Source organism: Homo sapiens, chromosome 11, assembly GCF_000001405.40.
Source record: "Homo sapiens chromosome 11, GRCh38.p14 Primary Assembly".
In the NCBI taxonomy this organism is placed as follows: Eukaryota; Metazoa; Chordata; class Mammalia; order Primates; family Hominidae; genus Homo; species Homo sapiens.
In genome coordinates this window covers 64,060,035-64,085,958 of record NC_000011.10, presented here as the reverse complement: position 1 = coordinate 64,085,958, position 25,924 = coordinate 64,060,035, and the positions used below count along the sequence as shown (strand labels likewise).

Below are 25,924 nucleotides of genomic sequence, written 5' to 3'. Positions count from 1 at the left end.
GGCTGGGGGCGCAGGAAGGGCACCTGAGCCTCCCCTTCTGTGGGGGTGGGGTGGCCCCTGAGAAGGGCCCCCTTTCCTCACCCCCCAGGACTTTATCTGCATCATCTCTTATTCCTCCTGCATCCCTGCTGGGGATGCTGTTATTCCCCGACTTGCCCAGCTGAGGAAACTGAGGCCTGAGAAGTTAAGGTTGCTGGGAGAAGCAGGCCCCCAATGGACAACACTGAACTTCCTCCTGGGACAGCCTGCAAGGTTGCCCCTGGGCCTGTCTGTGGGTGACCGTCCCACTTCCCAAGGCAGGTAGGCCCAGCCTCCCCACAGCCATGTGGGGCAGAGGAACAAGGCTGTCGCTGTGCTGGCCCACGCTGCGGCCTGGGGTGGACCCGGGCGGGCGGCAGGGGACGTACTTAGTGGAAGATTTATGAGCTGGGTTAAAATTTAATTTGGGTGGACAATCCCAGCCAGCTAAGCCGGCCGCCCCAGACACATGGCCTGGTCCCGGCAGCCCCGTGGTTGGGCCTGGCCTCCCTGCCAGTCTCCCCCGCCCTCCGTCCCCGGAAGGCAGGCAGCCCGCCGCCCCCAGAGAAATATTAGCACGAATTCGATTTGGGGTGGGAGCAGCGGGCGCTGAGGCTTGTTTGCACTTCAGTTCAAAATTGAACAGGACAGAATCAGCTCTGGCCAGGAACCACCTCCGTGGTGCCCAGGGACAGCGCTGCTCTCCAAGGAGCCCCGCTAAGCCTTCCAGCTCCCCACCTGTCCACTCGGGCGTGCTCCTCCAAGCTGCCCTCTGCCCTCAAGCCCCATCCTCTGCCCAGAACCCCCAATCCTCCCTGGTGCCCCACTGCATGGGCTTGAAACCTACTGATATGTTGGGGGATCTGTGCAATGACTGAACCTCTCTGAGCCTCAGTTTCTTTATCTGTAAAATGGGGATAATAGGACCCATTGTTATAGTAAGGCAGAGTTAGAACTGTGTCTGCATGTGGCCTCCCCATAGACGGAAACCCTTGTTGTGGGAGGGCAGCACCAAGGCTGGCTGGAGGGAGCAGGGGGACTGCAGAGCCCCCACACACGCAGCTCTCCCTGTGAGTCCTGTGGTCTTGCGCCCCTCCCGGGCCGGGGCATTACCTCTTTGGACCTTGGGGCTACGGTTCTTGGTTGCCCAGTCTGGGCTGGCGGGTGAGGGAGAATGCTGGGGTCACCAAGGCACGAGGTGTGGCCTAGGGCTGAGCCGAAGCAGCACGGGCACGTGGACAGCCCTGCTCCCTCCTGACTGGCCCTGCCCAACCTGCCCATCACTCTTTGACCCCACTGCCATGCGCTGGGTCCCTTCTAGGCGCTGTCCTAAGTGGGTACTGTCCACCCATTTTACAGAGAAGGAAAGTGAGGCTCAGAGAGGCAAAGAAACTGCCTCAGGCCTGCAGCAGCGATGACCCAAGCCCAGGCCCCGTGACCCCAAGGCTCACTGTCCTCCCACCCTCGCTGCCTCTTTGCTGCTGCCTCCACAGCGCCTGCCCACAGTGCAGGGAGGGGGCTTCGCGGGAAAGGTAGGCAGCTCAGGCAGCGGGGGCAGAGCAGGAAATGCACGTGGGCAGAGCACGTGGCAGGGGCTCCTCGAGGCTGGGGGACAGGCATCCCCCACTCTCACACATGTGTTCCTGCTGCCTCTGGCCAGGATCCAGGCATGGAAATAGCCGTGTCACCTTTGGAGGCTGAGTCCCTGTCACTGCTTTGCCCCAGGCCTGGGAGGGGGCTGAGAGGAGGGGGAGGCAGCATCCTCCAGGACTGCAGAAGGCGCGCGTGCCATGCACTCATGTACAGGTATACCTACACGCACACGCTCATAGATGCACACACAGGCCCGTGTGCAGGATGGCAGGGACACACTATGGAAACCTCAGTCTCTGCCTCACCACCAGCTCTGCCTCCTGAGGGACCAGTGAAAGGCCGGAACCCAGCACGTGTTCCAGTTGTGTAAATGACACTCTTCATGTCAGCCCACAGCAGCGCCGGGCTGCCGCATATGTGCCCCTGCCCACGGGGCCGGCCGCACGCCCGCCTGCACGCTGCTCACACTCGCCCAGCACCCCCCAGGTCAGCGCCCCTCACCGGCCCTGGCAGATCCGTCGGTCTGTTGATGCCAACCCCTGCTGACTCACCCCTTGACCTTGGGAATTTGGGGCTGGGGCCCTTCAGGAGTCACCGAACCCCCATTCCACACACTAGCAGAAGACCTGGAGCCAGTCTGGCGAGTCCCATTCCTATTTTGATAACCAGGTCCTAGCTCTGACCCGGCGTTGGCATCTCACTGCGGCCTCTCATTACTCACTTACATGCTTATTTATTTATTCCCGGCTCGTTCTCGAAAGGATTTGTGGCAGCTTACAGAAATACAACATAATACGAGAGGATCAAGAGGAGGGAGGGAGACGGGATGGAAAAAAGCCAGGCACCCGAAGCGGACAGGCTGGGGTTCAAATCCTGCCATTTGCTTCTTTTATTTTTGGGGGACAGAGTCTCACTGTGTTGCCCAGGCAGTGTTGCCAGGCTGGAGTGCAGTGGTGCAATCTCAGCTCATGGCAATCTCCACTTCCTGGGTTCAAGAGATTCTCCTGCCTCAGCCTCTGGAGTAGCTGGGACTATAGGTGCCCACCACCATGCCCAGCTGTTTTTTTGTATTTTAGTAGAGATGGGGTTTCACCATGTTGCCAAGGCTGGTCTCGAACTCCTGAGCTCAGGCAATCTACCCACCTCGGCCTCCCAAAGTGCCGGGATTACAAGCATGAGCCACTGCACCCGGCTCCATTTACATATTATACTGCTGTTTACTCATTCATCTTTGGCCTGTGGAGTCACTTTGCCCCCCTGAGCCTCAGTTTCCTCACCTGTGAAATGGGGATGATGATACCCACTGGGTGGGTTGTTAATGGGATATGAGAAAACGCCAGGGGAGACTAAGCCAGCACTTGGCACACAGGAGGTGCCAATGGCACACGGCAGCTGCTGTGACGAGGAAGGAAGGCAGAGAGAGGTCAGGGCAGGGACAGATGAGGGCAGAGAGGCAGGGGGCCCTGGGCTGGAGCAGGCACAGCCCTGCCTACCTCGGTGTCTGGTGCCCTGTGGGTCGTGGTGATGTCTGAGCTGAGGGAAACAGGGGAAATGGGAGCAGGTGACTTTCAGGGGTCCCAAATGCCAAGGCCCAGGAATCCCCTCTGAGTCCTCTCAGGAGGATGCTCCACATTCCTTGTGTGAGACCCAGGGGCCTGCAGGGTGGAGCAGGACAGGGGTCTGGGGCTCCAGGCTGGGGGTCCCCACCCTCCCACCTGGTGCCTGCACTCAGAGGTTCCGTCTTCAGCCCAGGGACCCCTAAGCTTCACCTGAATCTGAACCCTACTTCCGCCTGGAGCTCTGACTCCCACGGCCACCACCGTTAGGCACCGAGCCTTGTTTCACCCCCTGGGACCAGCTCTTGGCCCCAGCCTGGCCCTCAGTCCCTCAGCCCTGCCCTCAAGCCCCTCACCTGCCTGCCCCTCACCTTAGGACGCCCCCACTTCAGGCTCCCTCCCAGCCATCAATCACTCCAGCCATGCTCCTGGCCCCCGTCCTGCCTTCCACGGTCCCCCCGGATCATCCTCCACCCAGCGTCTCTGCTGGCTGCTCAGAGCAGGAGGCAAGATTTTCTCCACCCCCCAGGCTCAGCCATCCTCTGCTAAGCAGGGGCCCAGTGCTGCCGAGAGCACCAATATTTAAGGGATGTTTCGCGCCTGCTCCTGGCTCTGGCCTGCTCCTGGCTCTGGCCTCCCTCCCGGGAGGCTCCAGGCGCAGCCACAGGAGGGCCTGGGGAGATGGGCACAGCCCCATCTGTTCTCGCCACGGCCCCTCTGCCCCAGCCCAGGACGCTGCAGCTCACACACTTTTCAACCTGTCACGGGATCCGGCGCCCGCTCTGTAAATGGCTGCTTTATTGACACAGCTGTGGGGATGGCATGTCCATTTAGAACACAGCAGGTAGAACGCGGCACTCGAGAGCCGGGAGTCCAGAGGGCTGCAGGATGCTGCCAAGCTCCAGCCCCACCACCGAGCAGCCACTGGAACCACGGCCTCAGTCTTCATGTCTGTGAATTGGGGAGAACGGACCCGGACCTCTCTCCGGCAGCTCCAGGAGGCAGTGGAGGAGGGCTGTCAGGCTCGGCTCTGGACCTGGAGTTGGGATGCTGTGTGGCCAACCCCCAAGCAGGAACAGGCTTCAGCCACACGCCCTCACCTGCATGGTTCAAGCAGAAAAGCATGTATGGGGCGCCGACTGAATACCAGAGTCTACACCCAGAGTGGTCCCCTTCCTCACCTTGCTCCCTGTCTTTGGCCTGTGCCTTCAGCCGCTCTGATAATACCCATGATATGTGTGGTTTGCGATGGGGTCGGGGGGGTGTTACACTGATGTTCACTGAACCCCACGTACCAGGCAGGGCTTGTCCTGAGCCCTTGCTGGCACTCTGCCAATCCCTGTATGAGGGTCACAGCTGGGACAGGTCCCAGGACCACAGTGCTGTTGTAACGTCCCTGAGCACGCCCAGCACTCTAGACACCTCAGGATATGCGAGTTCATGGTCATTGATTTTAAAATATGAAGTGTAGGCTGGGCGTGGTGGCTCACGCCTGTAATCCCAGCACTTTGGGAGGCCGAGGTGGGCAGATCACCTGAGGTCAGGAGTTCAAGACCAGCCTGGCCAATATGGTGAAACCCCATCTCTACTAAAACTACAAAAATTAGCTAGGCATGGTGGTGGACACCTGTAATCCCAGCTACTCCAAAGGCTGAGGCAGAAGAATTGTCTGAACCTGGGAGGTGGAGGTTGCAGTGAGCTGAGATCATGCCACTGCACTCCAGCCTAGGGGACAGGGCAAGACTTCATCTCAAAATAAATAAAATAAGAAGTGTAACCTTGGGGGAAGATGGCAGAATGTCCCCTCATTAAACAGACTTCAACAATGTCACATAATTCCAACAGACTGGAGGGACTTCAGGAGCAGTGGGGATTCTCTCAAGGTCTGCCTGCAGCCCGAGTCCTCAGTGCCAGAAACAGCCACTGATGGCTGCTCAGGGTGCCTCTTCCCTCCCCATCACCCCAAGAGTTCTCCCATCACTGAGCCCGAGGACACTGCTGGTCCTCTCTGAGCACCACTGGCTCTAAAAGCCACCCCTGGATCCAGCCGGGGGCCTGTCCCCTCTGCACGTCCTCCTTCCCCGGTCCTGGGTCTGAGAGGTCCTCAGTAGTTGAGGTCTGTGTAGTGGATGCAGGGAGGGGAGGCTCATAAACGTAACTGTATCATAAACGTAACCCTCCCTTGCTGAACGCCTACGTGTTGAGCACTGTACTGGGTGTCTTGTGTTCAACCCTCGCCACCTCTCTTTGATTTAGGTGCTTATTTTTGTCCCTACTTTACAAATGATAAACCTGAGGCTTCTTTTTAGGGGATGAAAATGTTCTGGAATTACATAGGAATCATGGTTGCACAACCTTGTAAATACACACAAAAAAACCCGCTGAATTCTACACGTTGAAGGGGTGACTTTTATGGTATGTGAGTTATATCTCAATGTTTAAAGATGAATTTGAACTAAGCTTATAAAGAAAAATATTCAGCCAGGCACAGTGGCTCACGTCTGTAATCCCAGCACTTTGGGAGGCTGAGGCAGGCAGATCACTTGAGGTCAGGAGTTTGAGACCAGCCTGGCCAACATGTTGATACCCCGTCTCTACTAAAAATACAAAAATTAGCCAGGCATGGTGGCGCACGCCTGTAATCCCCGCTACTCGGGAGGCTGAGACAGGAGAATCGCTTGAACCTGGGAGGCGGAGGTTGCAGTGAACAGGGATGGTGCCATTGCACTCCAGCCTGGGCGACAGAGTGAGACTCCATCTCAAAATTAAATAAAATTCCAGGCTCAGAGAGGGAAAGCAACTTGTTCAAGGTCTCAAGTGAATAACACAGCTGAGGCCTGATCTCAGGTCAGTTTGTCCCTTCCTGTGATACAACCCTGCCTCCCTCATTTACGACTGAAGACAAGCTTCTGTCTTGGTACTCCCTCACTCTGGAGCTGTTGCTGGCTCCCTGTGGCTCCTTCCTGGGGTCCAAGTGGTCCCCAGACCCAGCTGTACCTCCAGATGGAAGTGCCTTCTTCTCCCTCCTTACCTCCACTCCACATTTCTCTGAGCGTGCGCCCCACTCTCTCCCTGAACCCAATCCCCAGTCCTTCCTTTCCCCAACCACACCTCCTCCAGGGGTCTCTGCTCCCACAGGCTTTGAGTGAGGGGCCTCTAGGCCCAACTCTGCCTCCGTCTAGCCCATCTCCCACCCCACGCCCAGGACCCTGGACTCCTCTCTGTGCCCGTGGCGGCTGCGGTCTCTCTCACCTCCAAGCCTTTGCATTTGCTGGTGACTGCTTAAGGCACAGTTCTCATCCCTGCCCCATTCCTGCCCCTGCGTGCCCGGCTGCTCATTTCTTGGATCTTGGCTTCAACACCCACTGTCTTCGCACACCCCCCCATCCCCAACGACCCCCTTCCCTCCTATCATCCCTTGCTCCAAATCTGTCTCCCCTTTAACCGTAACCTCCCAGAGGGCAGACCCCTGTCTGTCTCATTCCCAGAGGCATCTGCAGCGCCAGCTGCACACAGCACAGGTGGGAGCCCCTGTGACCCCTCAAGCCACATGCCAGAGCAGGAAGGGGCCGTGGGGCTCCCTACACACCCTCTTCCCTCATCCCACACACAGTCGTCAGCAAGTCCTTTCCAAATCCAATGAATCCAACCACCTCCCTCCCTCCCGTCCACCGCCCCCCACTGCACCATCTCTTGCCAGGAGACAGCAGCGCCTCCCCACCGCCCCCGGTCTGTCCGCACAGCGGCTCAGCAAGCCCCTGGGAACCCAGTCCCATCACCACCCTCCCCTCAGAACAAATCCATGTTCCTTGTCGGAGTCTACAGACCTCTGTCTCCGCCATTCACCACCCTTAACCGCACTGGCATAAAGATATGTCCTGGAACCTGCCAAACTCCCACTCTGAGTTCTCGCTGTCCCCTCTGCCGAGACAGTCTCCACGGCCAGCTATGTGTCCTCAAGCTGGCCCCTGCCCCCACACCCCCTGCTCAGAGAGGCCTCCCCCCCTGCAGTCACCCGTCTTTTGGGTTTCCTTGTGGCCTGTCTCCCCAGCTTGGGGTGCCCTCCCTGAGGGCAAAGCCTGGCTCCCCCTTTGCTGCTGGGGCACCTCAAAGCTCGGTGAAGAGCACATATTTGTAGGACAAGGATGCAGGAGCCATGATCACCTCAGGAGAGGGCCAGGCAATCCTGTGGCCACCCCCCATGGGACCCTGTGGGGCACAGGGCCGCGCTCACACCACTGCCCACCCAGACAGCTCCCCTCCCGGGTATCCCTCCGATGCTGCAAGGGGAGGCCGGGGTGGAATAACCAGATTAGCCTAAGTGGCTCCTCTTGTTTCCTGGCGTAATTGGATTGAGGCCATGTTTCGGTGCAGCTGCATTTAATATTGTAATTCTGCAGCCGTTCAGCCCCCTGAGAGCAGCTGCTGAACGCAGACGGGCCAGGGACTGGGAGGGGAGGCAGGCCTGCAGGCAGGGGTCCAGGCTGGAGAAGAGGCCAGGGCAGGGGTCTCATGCCTGGGACCTGTGCTGAGAGCACACCTGCCCACCTCCCTTCTGGAGGGCACGTCCTACTGGGCATGGGCATGGCCAGTTCTTTCTGCATCTCTGGGGCGGGCACAGAGCTGGGCACAAGGAGGGTTGAGGTTGAGAGGAAGGAAAGGAGTGCTGCCTGCAGCCCCAAGCCGGCAGGTGCGCAGGGCAGTGTGACTGTGAAAGGGAAGGCCATTCCCAGAGCTGCTGTACCTCCCTGTGCCCGATGCCTGGGCCTTGGGCACGGGGAGAGCGTCTGGGACCCCCGCTGAGGAGGAGGCAGGGGAAAGGAGGCCAGGCTGAGCACGGGCCCATCAGGGCTTAGCTGGCTGCAGGCCACAGTCCCCAGAGGGTCTAAGGGCCTAAACATATCTGCTGTTGCCACCAATCAGGGGGCCCTGGGCTCCTGAAGCCCACCCATAGCCAAAGGAGACTCCTTGCCCAAATGTCCGAGCGGCGGCCGGAGGCCCAGCCAGGGCCCAGTCCAGCCACGGGCTGGGGACTCCTCCCTCGGCAATGCAGTGAGGGGTAGTGACCCCCTGAGACCTGTTTGAATGCTGATGCTCCCAGACAACAAGGGGGCACGGCAGGTGGGGGTGTGCCAGCATGTGCCTCTGAGCGTCCATCTATGAGTTCTGTTCGTGTGTGCCCGTCAGTCTGTGTCTAGGTGGAATGTGTGCACATGTGCACTGGGAGTGAGGGACCCCCCCTGCCCCGCCCCTCACCTTCCCACATGCGGCCTGCAGCCTAGTCTGTCTCCACAAATGCCCATCAGTACCTGGGTCCTGAGGCAAGGCTGATGGGTCTTTAAAAACCAAGAAGCTTGGGGGGAAAATCCGAGGACGGGGCACAGCTGGGGAGGGACAGAGGGCAGGGCAGCCCCGTGACAGGGGCCCCCAATTCCCAGACATTGCTTCTGGAAGCACAGCCCCTGAGAGATGGTGCTGGCCTCCCTGACCCCCTGGATGCAAACATTTCCAGCTGGCCGCCTGGGGTACCTGTTGGGCAAATGAATCACTGGGTCCCTGTGGCTGGTGCCTTTCCAGGTAGCTCCTCCTGGAGGCTCAGACCCAGTTCTGAAGACCTCAGCTGCAGAACAGTTTCTCCATCATCAGGGAGAAGGGGTTCAGGCCTACCCGAGGCTGGACTGAGGTGGAGGGCACTGGGCTGAGGCCTGTGGGGTCTGGGGTCTGTGGACCCCCCTACCCTGCCCTATCTCCCTCCCTCCCATCTACTCCCCACAGCTCAAGGGCCTAGCGACAGCTCCCATCCGTCACTCAGCCCTATTTTTAGGAGGTGATAACCCAGCTGTGAAAATTCTCTCCGTGCTGATCCCTTCCACATGAAGAAGTCTTAGCCCCAAGCCGATGAGTAAGTGTGGCAGCTTGGGAAGGCAAGGGATGGAGGCAGGAAGAGGCTTGCAGGAGGACCGGGGGGCTGCTCACGCAGTAGGAGGGACGGGAGCCCAGAGCCTGGGTCCCACCTTAGCTAGCTCTGCCAACAACAACATGCTCATCGCAGTGTTGTCCTGGATCAAACCTCCGGCTCCTGAAAACATGGAGGACCAACCTCTTTCTGAGCTGTGTGTTCTTAGGCGATTTCGTCTCTCTCTGTGCCTCAGCTTCCTCCTCTGGAAAATGGAGATAATGATAGTATCTGTCCAATAAGGCTGTTGTGAGGATGACTAAGTTCTCTGGCCGAGAACTTAGAGAAGCAACTATGTCTCCAGACCCCAGTGCCAGCACAGGGCCCGGCACAGATGAGACATCATCCGTCCATCCATCCATTCGTCCGTCCGTCCATCCATCCGTCCATCCATCCATCCAGTACAGTTGACCACCTGTGATGTGCCAAGCACTGCTGTGGGCACTGGAGACAATCACGGTCTCCAGGCTGCTCTGGGCACCAGGGAGACTCCAGACCTGTCCCTGTCCCTAACCCCAAGTCAGAGCATGGCATGTGGGGTCTTTTGACCCATGCAGTGGAGGGTCATGGGGGCACCTGGTGAGGGCTGGAGGGTCTTGCTAAGGAAGCAGGACCCTGCATGGTGAGATGGAGGGGCAGGAGCACAGCAAGGGAAGGGTGATGTGTTGGGAGCTGGGAAGGTCGCTGGGGTCAGGGCAGGGGCAGGTGACTGGCAGGGCCAGCCTGTGCTTGAGGGAGAGGCCTCTGGCTGCAGGCTGGATCCACCAGGAGGCTGTGGGAAGGAGGGATTGAGAGAGCGACTTGGAACCAGGGCTTCCTTCACCCCAGCCTGAGGTAGCAGCATGCCAAGAAGACAGGGCCAGGCCGGGCACAGTGGCCCACGCCTGCAATCCCAACACTTTGGGAAGCCGAGGCGGGTGGATCACTTGAGGTCAGGAGTTTGAGACCAGCCTGACCAACATGGTGAAACCCCGTCTCTACTAAAAAAGTACAAAATTAGCTGGGCATGGTGGCTCAAGTCTATAACTCCAGCTACTTGGGAGGCTGAGGCAGGAGAATCCCTTGAACCTGGGAGGTGGAGGTTGCAGTGAGCTGAGATTGTGCCACTGCGCTCCAGCCTGGGCAAGAAGAGCGCAACTCCATCTCAAAAAAAAGAAGCAGCAGCAGCCAGGGCCAGATTCGGGGTCCCCCTTCTTCTCAGCCAGAGCTGTGTAGGTTGTCACTCCATATCAGGATGGAATGGGACAAGGATCTGGCTGCTGAGGGAAGGAGGGCAGCAGGCCAGATCATCCCTCCACCTCTGCCTGTTCCCTCGGTTTGAGCCCAGCTGGGGCCCTGCCACCTACTAGCTGGGCAGCTTTGGGGAAGTTATTTAGCCTCTCTGAGCTTCGGTTGCTTCCATCTGTAAAATGGAAACAATATTGGATTGCAATGAAGAAATGATGGGTATAAAGTGTCAAGCTTGGGATAGTGCCCAGGGAACGGTTTAGACCCAGAAAGATGACTTCTGTCTAAACAGGGTGATGGGATGTCACCTGGAGGGAGGGGCCAAGGGCCAGCCAGGCAGGTCCCAGCCTATCTAGACATGGTCCAGGAGTCCCTGAGAGGCTGGAGCTGGCATGTGGATCAGAATGGTCCAGGCTCATGGCCTCAGACCCTCATGCGCTGCCCTGTGGGGTCAGCCTCACCAACCGTTTTCTCCAAGTGAGAGAAAGAGGCCCAGAGAGACCAAGGTGCTTCCTGAAGCCACAGTGGAGCCCAGGCCTTCCCCAAAGCCAGAACCCCCTGTCCGCACACAGGTGGCTAGGGTGGGGTCTTGAATTCCTGGACCTCCCTTTTCAACCTTAAGGAGAGGGGTACAGTGGTCAGGAGCCCAACTGATTTAATGGGAAGTGACCCCTTTTGCCCCAGGGTGGCATCTCCCTGACCCTGCAGGAGGCTCCCAGATGGAAAGGGGCATGTTCAGGATCCTGGAGTGAGGTCAGAGCTCACCAGGCAGGCCACAGGCTTCCCCACCCCAAGCCCCAGGAACTGGGGAGTGACTCCATTCAATAACCTGCTTGTTTCATGAGAAGCCTGGAGCCTGGTCACCCCTGGGCCTCTGGGGCAGCAGCTCAGGGACCCACAGGGCAGTTTGGTGGTATCTAGCTCCTGGGATAAAGGGGGTCCCACTACTTGGACATGCTGTAAGGGCACAGCCCCCCTTGGGGAAAGCCCAGTTCAGCAATGGGAGAAGGGCTGCCACGGAGGGCCTGCGGGGACATGGAGGTGACATCGGAATTGCTTCTCCACACGTTATTTGCTGCGTGACCTTAGGCCAGAAACTGAACCTCTCTGAGCTCTGTTCCTCATCTATAACATGACAGGTCCTCCCTCCCACGGCTGTTCCTAGGGTCACGTGGGATCCTGTGGGTGGACCACACCCCTGGAGCTCAGCACAGGAAGCTGCTATTAGAAACTGCAGAGGTGAGAGGGCAGTGGTTGGGAAATCCTCCCAGAGCGGGACCTTGCAGAATGCATAGGAGCTCGGCAGCTAGGAAAGGTGGGGAAACCTTCCTCATGAGCCTCACACCTGAGAAAGAGGAAAGAACCCCACGAACTGCATTCTGGGGCCTTGGGGGAAGCCCTCCTTTCTCTCTGCCTCGGTTTCCCCATCATAAAAGGAGACCATTGCCCTGAGCCAGCTTCATGTCTACTTGTGACATTCTAGATGACTCTTTCTTTGAGAGGAGGCAAGGCCAGAATGGGGAGGGGGTATTCCCCCCACCCCCATCCCCAGCTGGCCGGGCTGACAGTGGCCCTGGAGCAGACATGCTGGGGACTCAGGGCCTGGCCAGACGCCTCTGCCTTGTGCCTGGGCCTCCAAAGCACCCTGGGGGCTCAGGGCCCCAGCCTCCCTCCCTGACCTTCAGCCCAACCAACCCTTCAACCCCAGAGCCCCTAAGTGGCTGGGCTGGATCCGGGTCCCCAACTGCATCTCTGGCCCTGCAAGGCTCTGGGGGCTGTGGGCCCCCCTCCCCAACACAGGGCTGGATGCGGCTGCTGGGTTTCTCAGTGGGAAGCTCCAGTGTTTACCCTGCCGAGGCCCAGCTTTTACTCCCCAAGGAGTGTGTTTGGGAGGCGAGAACCCACGCGCACGCACACTCTCGCATGCCATCTGATGTGCCAGACCTCACAGGCTCCCGGCCCAGACGTACATGTGCACCCCCAGCGCTGGCTCTGGCCTGCACCTGCCGTACCTGGGCCAGGCCAGTGGCCTCAGCACGGCAGGCAACTGGCACTAATTTTGAATTAGTTAAGTTAATTAGTAAGTGCCACAGAGGACCTCAGCTAATCCTTCCACCAACCTCCAGTTTCATGCTGTCCACCTGACAGGTGCCCAAACTAAGGCTCAAGGGAGTTAAGAGTAGAAGCCAGAAGTTGCAAGTGGGGTTCAAAGACAGGTCTCTGGGACCCCCAAGTCTGGTCTGGGCTGCCTCAGAGCAAAGCCAGGATGGGCATGGGGGAGTGGGAGTCTGCTGGGGGCACAGGACACTGGTTAAGTGACAGCCGGTTGATCACAGCCAGCTCCATCAGCACAGAGCGGGTACCCAGAAGTATCTCTGAAGAAACCGATGGCCGGATGAGGGGGTAAACTTAGGCAGAAGCAGGCAGCCCTGGGAGTCTGTGCCTGGTGCCCCGTGGCCCTCAGAAACCCACGGTGGGGGTCCCTGGCCCCCTCCGCAGCCTCTTTGCATGTGTCTGGGCACCCTGGAGCAGGGACAAGTGGCTCTGTGCCGTCAGGAGCTGGGCCTGCTGGCTCTGCCTCTGGCTGCCTGTGGGTGGGTCCCGACCCCTCTCTGGGCTGCAGGACCCTTCAGAAGACAGGGCAGTTAGAACAGATCAGAGGGTTCCACTTTGGGGAAGGTCACCTTGAGAACCTGACTCTTTTGAGAAAAAATAAAGCCCCTGCTCCACACGTAGGTTTATGTGGGATTCGGGGTTCACAGACCCTCAGACGCTCTGGTTGGGGACCACTGAGCCACATGCAGGGTGGAGCTGCAACACAAAGCAAGACAGAGATCAACCCCAGATTCCAAAAGCAGTTGCTTCTTAATGTATTTCTAGTGCTTTAAGACATTAACTCCTCTAATCCCCAGAACAGCCCTATAACCAGGGCATGGGGAGAACAGCCCTATAACCAGGGCATGGGGGCGAGGGGGCTTTGTTATCCCCATCTGATGTTTGTGGAGACCAAGGCCCCAGCAAACATGGCCAAGGCCACACGTCAGGATGCAGCGCAGCTGCTATGTTATTAGTTTCTGTGGCGGGTTCACGGGTGCCTGGTTTATCATCATGCTCGTAACTTATGGAATGCCACATGTACGTTTCATATTTATCCAATGTTATGTAATTATTATTTTTTTTTTTTTAAATGAGCCGGATCAGCTGACCTTCTAATTTTGGCTTCTGGGATTCCTGCATTGCTGGCTTCCACGGCCTCTGCCAGAGGCAACCCCCAAAGGCTCGCCCTGGTGCAGCCACAGGCTGCTACAGTTCTGGGGCCTGGCTCTCCAGGGCCGGCATCACCCCTGTACCCATCTGTGGGTTGGGTGCAGAACCAGCCCCTCCATCCCACAGCAGCTGAGGATGAAGCAGACCCTGCTCCCGACCCCCAAGTCCCCCCAGGCCCAGCCACAGCTCCCACTCACTCCCACCCCTGGCTGCCAGCCGGGGCAGGCCCCAGCGGTTATGAGTTCAGCAGTCGATTCGATTCGGGCTCACATCATCTTGTCTGCCGGGAGGATTTAGTGCGCGCGGCGGTCAATAGTGCGTTTGTTTTGCTATCGACCTGCTGGAGCGGCTCAGGAGCCAGCCCGTTCCCCTCGGCAGCTGAGGCCTCTCCAGACTGCAGAGCCGGGACCTAGAAGTGTCACTGGGCAGATTAGGGGTTGCTTCTTGAGGCGCCCTCCCAGGGCTCTCGCCACTACTGCCCACGGCCCACAGCCTGGCCTGGGTGAGTCTCGATGCCCCTTAAAGATCCATCCCTACCCCTTGGCCTTTAGGCCCCACAGGCCCTGAGGAGGATGGGGCAGGCCAGTCTCCTGCCATCTGTGACTCTAGGGCCTCCTGCTTGACAAAGGGCCTTGGTCTCATGACCACCCCATAACCACCAAGCTGGGGGGCTCTGTGGTTCCCACTTCACAAATGGGGAAACAGGTCTGGAGAGGTGATACGACAGAACCTGTAGTGGGAAGAGCGGTCATTTGGGGAAGGAAACTAAGGGGCAAGGTTTCCCACCCTGCCCAGAGTGGGCCCCTGGTCTGGGATGGGCCCCAGGGTGACTCCTGGGCGAGCTGGCCAAGGGGACAATGCTCTCCTTGGCCTCAGCCCAGCCCCAGCCCTGGCCATACCAGTTAAGGGGAAGGGTAGACACTGGGTCTCCATCCGTGAGTTTCATTCATTCATTCAACAAACATTGCTAGAGAGCTGCTCTGTGCTGGGCCCAGAGATTGAGACCGCAGGTCTGGGATCCCAGCTGGAATCAGGGAGCACCTGAGTACCCCACACAGGCCTGTGCTGGGTGGGAACCCTGTGGGTTCCCTGAGAGAGAGAGGTACCTGACAGGGTCTTAGGGAGGAAGGCTGGGAGGGTGGTTTGCAGCTGGGGGAAACCAGGGGCCTTAGAGGAGGTTATTTTGAGGGGGCTCTGGGGAAGGATGAGTAGAATTTTGACAACAAAGGCAAAAAGCCACCCCAGGTGGAGGTCCCAACAGAGACAAAGGCCTGGTGTCCCCAACAGGTGCACAGAGAAGAATAAAGAGATGAGTATGGCCGCTCTGTGAACTGTGGAGGTCTGAGGATTGAATAGTCAAACCCTTCAGAGCCTGGAATAAAGACAGCCCCTCCTTGGTCTACTTAACCAACCCCTAGAAGATGTGGACCCATGGGTACCCCTTCCCCAAGTGTCCCAGAGGGGGGCCCCATTCATTCCTCCTTCCTCCTCTCCCCTCTTCCAAAACGAGAAAGAGCAAAAAACTATTATTGTTCACGCCTCGTCTCCCACCAGTTATTAAATTTCATTCCACGAACAAATAAATCCATTTTTATTGCAGCGGGAGGAGCAGGCAGCTGTTTTGCTGTTTTACCTTTTTTATTTTTCAAAGTCCTGTTAAATCTGCCCCGATCAGCTGGGAGGCCCCTGAGGCCCCAGCCCGAGTGTTAGTTATGGTGCTTTCTCCTCCTCTGGGAAGGGGGCCCCTCCGGGGGAGAGGGGAGGGTGAGGCTGGATCCCACCTGACTTGCTTCGAGTTCTCGAGCTCTGCTCTCGGGCAGCCTTCCCATGGCCTGCATTCCTGCAAGGAGGGTCCGAAAGCTTCCCACCAGCTCCTATTTGTTTGGCGTTTTATCCCTTGCAGTCCCTCCCGGAGGCCTCTCCTGGAGAGGCGTGGCCGGCTCTATTTTATAGGAGAGAAAGCTCAAGCTCAGAAGGGCCAGGAGGATCATTGGAATTCTCAGTCACAGCTCCGAGGCCCCCAGGGAACATGAGGAGGCTCCGATTCCTTCCCCAAGGCTGGGCTGAGGACTGGCAGCCCAGGTAGGGCTCTGATCAGTAGACTCAGACACCCCACTTGGTGCAGCAGGGATTCACCTCACATCTCTGTCGCCCAACCAGCTGTGTGACCCTGAGCACACGACCTGGTCTCTCCGGGCCTCAGTTTCCACATCTATGTAAGGGGTATAATAGTGATAACAGCATCCATCTCTCATGCTGCCCTGAGGATTAAGAGGCTGCAGGGAGTGCTTAGCACAGAGCCTGGTCTGGCGGACACCTCTCACCATCCCCGCCTGTCCCCCAGCTTCCTGGCCCCCTGCTCTGCCCCCTGCAGAGGGACATTGATCCCACTGGGCGCGAGTCGGGCTCAGGGTGACATGTGCCTTCTCAGTTGAGGTCTGGGAGGGGCGCCCAAGATAAATCCTCATCGTGGCTATTTTTTCTCTCTGAACCATTTGCTAAAGACTTAATGACTGTCGATAAGAAGCCTGTTGCGTCTGCTGCGTCTGCAGTGGCCGGCAGCGTGCGGAGGTTTCCTGGCGAAGCATTTAGGTGACACAGCTGCCGGGGCCGGGCCCGGGGGTGTCACCAGCCCCACCACCGCCTGCTCTGCCTGTGCCCCTGCAGGGAAGCCATGGAGGGGCTGCCTCCCCATGCCCAGGATGGGGTCAGGCCACTGCAGGAGGCATCAGCAGCCCTGGCCCCCTCCACACCTGGCCCCACAGCTAGGGGCACCACACGGGCAGGGAGAGCCCCTCCCTCCCCACAAAGGCTTCCTGTGGCTGTGCTTGCCCTTCCCCTACCCCAGAGCCAGAGGCTAAAGGGGACCAGACTGGCCAGCAGCTTGTCCTTGGGGAGTGGGCTCCAAGACCCCCAGGGTCCCTGAGCCAGATGGCAGGGAGAAGGTCTGGCTCCTGGGGCTTTGGGCCAGAGAGAGACCCCCATCCTCTGGCAGCCTCCTGTGCCCCCCAGGCTCTTCGGCTGACAGCCGTGCCTCATCCAGGCCTGGCAGCACCTTCCCCTGCGGTTCAGAGCTGTCTCCGGTGTCAGGTAGAACTGCGGATCCAGGTGAAGGCGCCCACCTCGGGCCCCCGGCCGCGCGCAGTGGCCCTCCTGCTCTGCTCCCCGCACCTCTCCCTCGACCCCTGCAATCGAAGGTTGGGAGAAGTGCTGGACACCGTCACCCTCACACCCCTAACTGGTTCTCCAGGGCTCCTTCTCCTGCCCCCATCCTGCCCCACCCCCACCTGCCACTGCCCCCGGAGGAATCCCTCTTCTTTTCTGTCCCAAGCTGATTAGTGAGTGGCACTATCAGGATAGGCAGCTCTAGATAATGTTCCCAGTGCTGTCTGTTGGCACCTGGGCCACTCTGGGGTGGGGGTTCACACGGATGCCCATTTCCCGCCAAGTCCCCACACTTCTGTGAACCTCCGGGGAAGGCCGAGGCTCACTCAACCAGGCTGGGAGGGCTGCTCAGTGACACAGGCCCACAAAGGATGGGGGAGCATGCCCATGGGGGTGCTCCCAGGTTCTGAGCCCATTATCTGGGCTCCCAGGCTAGCAGCTGTCCCAGCTGCAGCTTCTCTGCCCTCAGCTGGGAGAGACAGACACGTGAGATCAGGACCCTTGGTGCAGGCTGGAGGGGGTAGAGACAAAAGCCCCTCTGCACATGGAACCCTATCTATTCTGCCTGGGCTTCCCTGGCTTCAGTTTATCTGCCAATCAAATGGGAATGCGGGGCTCTGTAAGAGTAATCGGCAGTAAATATGTGCAAGGGAGACAACCATCGTTATCCTAGGACCTCATGTTTGTGGAGGGCTCCAATCTGTGCCAGCCCTTACCGTGCCCAGACTCTTTTATTCCTTGCTAGCAGCTGGTGAGGTCAATGCAGTAGATACCTCCATTTTACAGCTACTAGGGCATGCGGGCAGCTGGGCCTGAGCCTGCCAGGGCCTGGTAGGCATCACTGTCCCCAAAGGCGGAAGAGTGGGACAGGCGGGTGCTGGGTGGGGTTGGGGTGGCCTTGCCACCAGCTCCCCAATGCCTGGGACTGAAGGGGTTTCTGACACCGCGTGGAGGTGCCACATCACCTGAACAGAAGGCAGAACCGTTGCCAACACTCCCGAAGCGTGAGTCCTGCCAATTTGAACGCCATATCTTAATGCCATTAATTTACATTTTGATTCAACTTTCTTAATTTTACTTCAACTTCGCCCGGCTCCGGTTTGAGAATCATTTTAATGTATTTATCTGTGAGGCAATTTGTTAAATAACCCCCAAGACCGGCGGTTTTCCGTTCTGAGCTTTTATTGCAAGGCTGTTTTAAATTAAATTAGTTGTCAGGGTCCCTGAGTGCATTGTAACGGGGATGGGTTCACCGCCAGCCCCCTCCTAAAAGCCGAGCGAACCGCTGGCTAAATGGACAGCAGCAGGAAGTGGGCCGCTCAGCTCCTCCCCCAACCCCCTCATCACCCATTTCAGGAGTGTGGGGGTGGCACAGCCGCCCCTCAGTCAGGGAAAACAAACAGCTCTGGGGCCACCCCCAGTTCACAAGCTGGGGGTGGCAGCCTGCGGTGCCTCGCGAGGGGCGTGTCCGCAATCACTGCAGGCAGGGCAGCTCCAGGCACCCCAGCCCTCCAGCTGCCTGCTTGGGGACCCTGTGTGTGCACCGGAGGCCACGGGCATGTTGGTGCGTCACCCACCTAGGGACAGGAGGGAGACAAGCCTGGGTCCTGGTCCCTGCTTTGGGTCCCTGAGCCCCAGGGGGAGGGGCTGGGGAGTTGGGGAGGTGCCGTCTGTCCCCGTCCCCGACCTATCTCCTCCCTTCTGTTATCTGAGCTGGGCGTCTGTGCTGGCTGTCACCTGGGCCGGGGGCATGATTTGTGAGCTGAAAGGCTCAGGTATTGAATCTATATTTCATTTTCACGTCAGCAGCTGCTATTTTGCCCGATAATGGATTCCCCCCTCACCATCCTCCGGGAGAGGCTGAGCAGTGGGGAGGAGGCCATGTCGTGTTAATGATGCTCCTTCCCTCCCTCTCGTGCCGCACAGGTGGGAGTGGGTGCCATGCAAGGCCTCTCCCCACCCCTCCCATCTGCCATCTCCTTGGAGCCGCATGTGCCTACAGGTGGGTATGGCCGGCCTCCCACCCCCACCAGCCCTGCCTACTTGGCCCTGGCCTGTGGTGTAATGAGAATGGCTTCCATTCTGCCAGGCCTTAGTTTACCCAAATGAGCCAGGACATTGGGCATGGGGGGTCCCTGAGCCCCTCATCCAATCTCCCCAGGGACTGCCTAGCGTGAGGGCAGAGGCTTGGGATGCCAGCTGGGCTCTGTGTGACCCTCCGTAGCGCACTGGGGCGGGCAGCACCTGGGCTGGGGCGTGGGCTCCGGAGCTATAGCCTGAGCCTGAATCCTGGCTCTTCAGCTTCCAGCAGCCTGACCTTGGCCATCTGCTTCACAGTCTGAGCCTCAAGTTGCCTCTCTGTCTAATGGAGTTCTCGTAGGATAGTTGTTAGGATTAAGTTGATCTAAGTACTCAGAAGGGCCTGGAAGGTAGGAAGGAAGCCTCATGCCTGGGGGCTCTCATCGTATTCCCACCTTGCAGGCAGACATCTCAGAAGGAGCGTGATTATTTACATTCTTTTTTTTTTTTTTTTCTTTTTGAAGACATGGTCTTGATTTGTTGCCCAGGCTGGAGGCTGGAATGCAGTGGCTATTCACAGGTAGGATCATACTGCACTGTAGCCTTGACCTCCCAGGCTCAAGTGATCCTCCTGCCTCAGCCTCTGGAGTAGCTGGGACTACAGGCGCATGCCACCACACTCCGCTAATTTTTTAAAATTTTTTGTAGAGATAGCGGGGTTCTTGCTTTGTTGCCCAGGCTGGTCTGAAACTCCTGGCTTCTAGTGATCCTACCACCTCGGCCTCCTAAAGTGCTGGGACTACAGGTGTGAGCCACCCATGCTTGGCCTAAATTCATCTTTTTTTTTTTTTTTTTTTTTTTTTGAGACAGTCTCGCTCTGTCACCGAGGCTGGGGTGCAGTGGTACAATCTTGGCTCACTGCAACCTCCGCCTCCCAGGTTCTCGCAATTCTCCTGCCTCAGCCTCCTGAGTAGCTGGGATTACAGGTGCCCACCACCATGCCCAGCTAATTCTTGTATTTTTAGTAGAGACAGGGTTTCACCATGTTGGCCAAGCTGCTCTTGAGCTCCTGACCTCAGGTGATCCGCCCACCTCAGCCCCCACAAAGTGTTGGGATTACAGGCGTGAGCCACCACACCCGGCCTAAATTCATCTTTATAGCCACTTGGCAAGCTTCTTTTTGTCTATCAAGACTCATCCAAAGGTCACCTCCCCTGGAAAGCCTTCCTGAGGCAGGATTAGTTGTGCTCTTCTCCCTGCCAACCACTCTGCACTGGGGTGAATGGTTGTTGCGATCTCCCACCTGCCTGCCTGTGCATGGAGAGAGGGGGAGTCTCCTTGTTCATCTTTTTTTTTTTTTTTTTTTTTGAGGCGGAGTCGTGCTCTGTCGCCCAGGCTGGAGTGCAGTGGCGCCATCTCAGCTCACTGCAAGCTCCGCCTCCCGGGTTCACACCGTTCTCCTGCCTCAGCCTCCCAAGTAGCTGGGACTACAGGCGGCCGCCACCATGCCTGGCTAATTTTTTGTATTTTTTAGTAGAGACTGGGTTTCACCGTGTTAGCCAGGATGGTCTTGATCTCCTGACCTCGTGATTCGCCCACCTTGGCCTCCCAAAGTGCTGGGATTACAGGCATGAGCCACCGCGCCTGGCCCCTTGTTCATCTTTTAAGTCCTCTGTAGCTCAGGACAAGCACACACCCTGCCAGGCTCTCTGGAGCCTCAGTAAATGTTCTGTTTTGGAGCGGAGGTAGTGGGTGAACTCTTCGTACATGGCAAATCTGTGAGGACCTGGCTTAAAACCCTCCAAGGCCCCAGCCGCCCTCAGAACAAAGCCTGGCCTCCTGCATGTTGAGGCAGCTGACGCTTGCCCGCCACCTGCCCGATCCTGCCCACCCACCGCCTCACTGCTCCGATCGCTCAACACTCTACCCGCTCTTCATCTCTGGGCCTCTCTGACCCCAGGCCTGCTTCCTGAAACTCTGTCCTGCACCCGTTCCCTGGGCCACTTCTACCTCACCTCCAGGCCCACGTGTAGCCCGTTCTCCTCTGGGAAGTCTCTCCGAGGCCGCCGAGTCTGGCTCAGGTGCCTGTGCTGGGCCCTGCTGGGCTTCTTCACCCCTGCTCATGTCCCTAGCACCAGCATTGCCCGCCTCTGGCTTGTTCCAACTAGCCTGTGCTCTGGAGTGTAGGGAAAGACCCTGAGTCTGTCTCAGTCACCATGGTGGCCCTCCTGCCTGCCGCCTTGCCTGGCACGTCATAGGTGGGCTCTGGAAGCACTCATCAAATGAATGAATGAATGAATGAATGAATGAATGAGGTCCTTGTGAAACTCTAGCCTCTTGGCCACCGGGTGCCCAGGTTTTAGTTGGCAGCCTCTGTTCTGTCAGCCTTTGCTGGATGGTGGGTCCAGGCCTGGCTGCCTGCTGGGGGGCTGGCAGGGAGGGGAGAGGAGAACTCAGGGAGGGCCCCCCTCCTTCTATCTCGGTGCCGTTTAATGTCCTGCCAGAGGCCCCTACTCTGCATCCTGTTCCAATGCTGTCAGGATACATTCTGGGTTTTAACAGGGCCAGGGAAGAAAGCCAGCTCCGTGTCAGCCAGCAGGCAGGACTCAGGCAAGGACCATGCCAGGCACATACGTACATATGCACCCTGCCTGCGTGCCCATCCGGGGCAGGCCTGAGGCCTCCGGTTCTTTGGCCAAGAGAAAACAGAGATTGCCTGCCCAGTGCCCAGAGGAGCTGGAGTCCCGGCACTGGCCCTGAGCCTCCTCCATCCTCCATCCAATGCCTGTGGCCCCATAGGATCTACCTGGACAGGCAGGCCCCTCTTCTGATGAGACATCACCCCCCTACCCGCCGCCTGAACAGGGCTGCACGTGGAGACTACGGTGTGGCTTGGTTGCTTTTTGTCCCCAACCCTAGGCTGTGCAGTTTGGGATTTTTTTCCCCTACACTGATGTTTTATTCATGTAAACCCAGCCTGCATCTGTCCTCAGAAGACAAGAGAGAGAAGATGCTGAAAGGGAGAGTGGGAGAGACCGAGGGGCTTGGAGAGATAGGGGGCGCAGAGAGAGAGACCTCGGGTTTGTGTGGGTGTCGCTGTTCAAAGCTGGCTAACCTACAAAGATCCAGTGAAGATGCGCTCTCTCCCTGCGGCTGCCTGACAAGAGGAGCCGTCACTCGGATGCGATTCATTGTCACCTCTTAGTCTATCACTGGTTCCTTTCAAACCTCTCCGCAGCTCACTGGGGAGGGCCCGGCTGGTCCCCCTCCACCACCCTCTCTGGGGCTGGGGAGAAAGCGGGAGGCATTGTCTGTGCTAATTGCATTGTTAGAGTGAAGGTGCTCCTGTTCGGCTGTCTCATTTGGGGCCTTTATTAGGCATGATTGCTGGCTGACAGCCGGGCGAGGACCGCGTGGCTGCCCATGGAGGGGGGAGTAGGTTTCAGCACCCGCTGAGGTGTGTCCCTTGACACCCCCAGGCTTCTGCCCATCCAGCACACACTCCCACGTCACACAAACCCCACTCCTCCAGAGGTGGTTTCATTCCTACGTGAGCTTCACCAGGAAGAGACGCCGGGGAAGAGGCCGCATTGAAGGTTGCTGGCTGCTGGGCAGTAACGGAGACTTTTGGGGGGCACCTGGGACTTTGCCAGGATGCCTTTCCCCACCCCTTGATGAACTGTTCATCCTTCAAGAAAAGCACAATTCGCCACCCCTGGAAGTCCTCCTCCTCTCCCTCCATCGCTCCTTGGGCTTCCCTGACATCTGGCATGGGTCTCTGCTGGATTTTCAGTTGACACGTGTGTGGCACCTCCCTGCACCCAGCAATCCTCTAGGTGTTTTACAACTGTTAACTCATTTGGCCAATATTATCCCTAGGAAGAGGGCGCTAATATTGCTCTCCATTGTTCAGATGAGGAAACTGAGGCACAGAGAGGGTAAGCGACCTCTCTGTGTACCCTAAGCAGGGCGCACAGAGCCTTAACACACCCAGCTCCTGCATCTGTGCCTTTGATCACCATAGGGTGGCCTCTCTGCTGCCCGCGTTGTTCTCTGAAGTTTCCACTCATATGGAGACTAAACTAGAACGACTGTCACCAGGCATGGTGCTTTTGCTCAAGTTATATCTCACTGAATCCCTCACAGCTCGGAAGATGGGCCGGGAGCCCTGTCCCCTTGCAGCTGTGTTGTCCCAGCCCCAGGCCATGCTGGAGCACGGAGGTGGCTCAGGTGTTTGTGGGGAATGAAGGGTCACACTGAGTGCAGGGCTGGGAAGGACTGGCCTAGGAGGCGGGGCCGGGGTGGAGGTGCCCCTGCTGAGTTCTGCCCCTGCTGTGTGAGCTGTGTGGGCAGGCACCTGATAAAGCCAGGCACCCCAGACCTGCCCGGCCTGGTTTTGGGGTGGGCATCTGGGGCCTCAGCCTGGGTCAGGCTGCGCGGGGCAGGACGGGCACACTGGAAGCCTTCAGCACTCTGGCTTCCCTGAGAAACCTTGCTGCAGAGCTGGAGACTGAGGCAGGGCCACGTGCCTTTGCTGCTCCATCCCCAGCGCCCAGGACAGTGCCTGTACATGGTGGTGTTCAGGAAACAGAGACCGAGCTTGTACAAGAGTCTCACAGTCACCTCTGTTTGGGTGCCAGAGTGCAGGAGGAGGCTGCGCCAGATTGGCTGAAATCTGTGATGCTTCCTGCAGCCCTGTGTGAGGCGAGCCTTCCGCCTATGCCCAGTTGGTTCCAGGGTGTGGGCAGAGGGCTAGGCAGACATAAGACCTCCAGGTGTGGGAGGGCCTCTGCATATGTCTGAGCCAGCCACAGACGCAGGACTCCCTCTGGGAGACACCCAGGGCTCATCACTCACTCACTGATAGATGCATTTACTGAGCACCTACTGTGTGCCAAGTACTATGCAAGGCACAGGGAGTACTCCAAGAAGCAAAGGGGAGGTGGAACCCTCATAGTGTGGCAGAACCAGGCCCCTGTGGGTGCTCAGCCAGAGGAATCCCTGTCTGGGGAAATCCAGGAAGGCCTTGCGGAGGAGAGGGGCATTTCAGCACAGCTAAGCAGACATCCCCCAGGCAGAGAAGGGGCAAAGGCATGCCAGGCAGAGGCTTTGGACAGGACAGAATCTCAGGACAGGATTTGTTTGGGAAAGTAACTAACAGAAGCAAGTAGAAGGGGGCAGGGGGGTGGGGGTGGCATGGTGGTGGCAGAGGCCCAGGAATTTGAGTCCAGCCTGGGCAACATAGCAAGACTCCGTCTCTACAAAAAAAAAAAAAAAAAAAAAAGCCAGCGTGGTGGCACACGCCTGTGGTCCCGCTACTTGGGAGGCTGAGGTGGGAGGATGGCTTGAAGGATGGCTTGAGCCCAGGAAGTTGAGGCTGCAGTGAGCTGTGATCGTGCCATTGCACTCCAGCTTGGGTGACAGAGTGAGACCCTATCTCAAAAAAAAAAAAAAAGTCTCATTTACTCCTCTAAAAATTAAAATTGGACCTTGATAGTATCATATCAAAAGTGCCCTAGCTGCCTAACTTGGAGCCAGAGAGGCATGCAGATTCGGACCCCATCCACAGATAACCCAATGCAGCAAATGGGGGGTGGTGCTCAGAACCCTGAATGGTGAACAAGACCGGTGATCACAGTGCAGAGCCGGGGAGGAGCTGCCTGGGGACTGCGGGGTCAGAGGCAGGGGACTTGGAAAGCCCACGAAGCTGTTGGGCGCAGGAGGCACCCCAAGGTCCTGGGAGGCCGGCCTGGGGTCTGGGCGGGCCAAGCCCATTCCTCTTGCCTAGCAGAGGGCCCTCACCTCCAGGCTGCGGGCTGGGGGCGGAGGCTCAGCGTGAAGGAAGGGCAGACGGCTGCAAAGTCGGCGCGCGGAGCATCCATCTGCCCTGACAGCCAGCAATTACACCGCGTGATCGCCAGATTACTCCAAATGCATTTATTACAGGGGTTAGAAGCGGGGGACTTATTTACTGGCAAATCCATACTCATTACAAGACTCAGCCTAGCCTAGACTGAAAACAGCTCAACTGAAACAAATAATTACCAAAGTCCTTCCAGCGCGAGGCTCTCAGGTGGTTGGGAGTGGGGGGGACGCCAAGCCCTTTCCATCAAGACAAGGGAGGAGGAGGCCGCGGTTGAGGATGCCTGGGTCGGGGAAGGTCGACGCCGGCCCGCCCGGTCGCCTGGCGGCCCGGGAGCCCCGCCGCCGCCGCCGCCGCGGTGCGCATGCCCGCCAAGGTCATGAATATGCAAAGAGCCTCGGGGGCGGGGCTGACACGCCCGGCCTGGAGGGCTTTGGCCCCGTTCACACCCGCCGGCTCCGGGACCCGGGCGACCCGGGGGCTGCAGGACTCAAAGACTGGGCATTCGAGAGGTAGAAATGAAAGTCTCGCATTTTCCGGTGAAAATACAGTGGGCTCGGCACAGAGCTCAGCCTCGAAGTTGATGAATGAATGAATGAATGAATGAACGAATGAACTAAAGAGAAGCGCAGACAGACCTTGCCCCAGGTCACGGCGTCCGGAGGAGAACCCAGTTTCACCAGTTCTAATCCTCAGGCTGTGCGCGCATGGGAGGCCACTGCCCAGCGTATCTCCAGGCTGGGGCCTGCTCTGGGTACCCCTCACAGCACACACAGCTCCGACCTCGGAGCCGCCAGGCATCTGTGAGGGCCTGGAGTCGCGGGCAGCCCCGACAGGGGCCCCAGGTCCCACATGCCTCCCGCACCTGCCTGGGACTCTAGGGATCCGGAAACACAACCAATCCGAGGCCTTCTGGGTCTGGCAGAAAGGCTGGTGTTCTGCTGGACTCCTGCCCCCGATTTTACAGATGAGGAAACTGAGGCCCAGATCGGCCTGCAGGCGGAGGAAGACCTCCCGCCGCTCCCGGAGCTCTGGGGCCTCCTGGGCGCCCGCGTGGGGAGCTGTCAGGCCGCTTGAAATGTGGGCCTGGCCTCTCTGCCCGCTGGGCAGATGCTGGCACCGCCGTCCGCGCCTTAAATATTCATTCACTTGACAGAACACTAATTAAACAAAGTAAGGTGCATTATTACTTGATTAAATTTTTTATTGGCAGCTTAATTGGTCTGTTAGTTGCCCCTTAGGGAGTTGTTCGCCATTCCC

At 58.2% G+C, this 25,924-nt stretch overlaps 2 protein-coding genes across 8 annotated transcripts in view, besides 3 other annotated features; one reads left to right on the top strand and one right to left on the bottom strand.

Annotated features, from left to right (window-relative positions):
* The window catches only part of MACROD1 (mono-ADP ribosylhydrolase 1), a 167,556-nt gene that overhangs the window by 80,155 nt on the left and 61,477 nt on the right, over positions 1–25,924 (top strand). The window lies entirely within an intron of this gene.
* Positions 1–25,924, bottom strand: part of FLRT1 (fibronectin leucine rich transmembrane protein 1) — an 83,241-nt gene that overhangs the window by 33,213 nt on the left and 24,104 nt on the right. The window lies entirely within an intron of this gene.
* Positions 12,468–12,656: a silencer, noted in NCBI's record as "fragment chr11:63840775-63840963 (GRCh37/hg19 assembly coordinates)". NCBI's record gives its function as "represses an EF-1alpha promoter that drives an FKBP-Casp9 reporter gene in an ReSE screen in K562 erythroleukemia cells {active_cell/tissue: K562}" and the evidence as "EXISTENCE:reporter gene assay evidence [ECO:0000049][PMID:32094911]".
* Positions 16,071–16,798: an enhancer, noted in NCBI's record as "H3K27ac-H3K4me1 hESC enhancer chr11:63836633-63837360 (GRCh37/hg19 assembly coordinates)". NCBI's record gives its function as "activates a minimal SCP1, AML or CMV promoter by ChIP-STARR-seq in primed H9 embryonic stem cells {active_cell/tissue: H9 hESC(primed)}" and the evidence as "EXISTENCE:reporter gene assay evidence [ECO:0000049][PMID:30033119]".
* Positions 24,931–25,090: a silencer, noted in NCBI's record as "silent region_3456". NCBI's record gives its function as "represses an Ori minimal core promoter by ATAC-STARR-seq in GM12878 lymphoblastoid cells {active_cell/tissue: GM12878}" and the evidence as "EXISTENCE:reporter gene assay evidence [ECO:0000049][PMID:35858748]".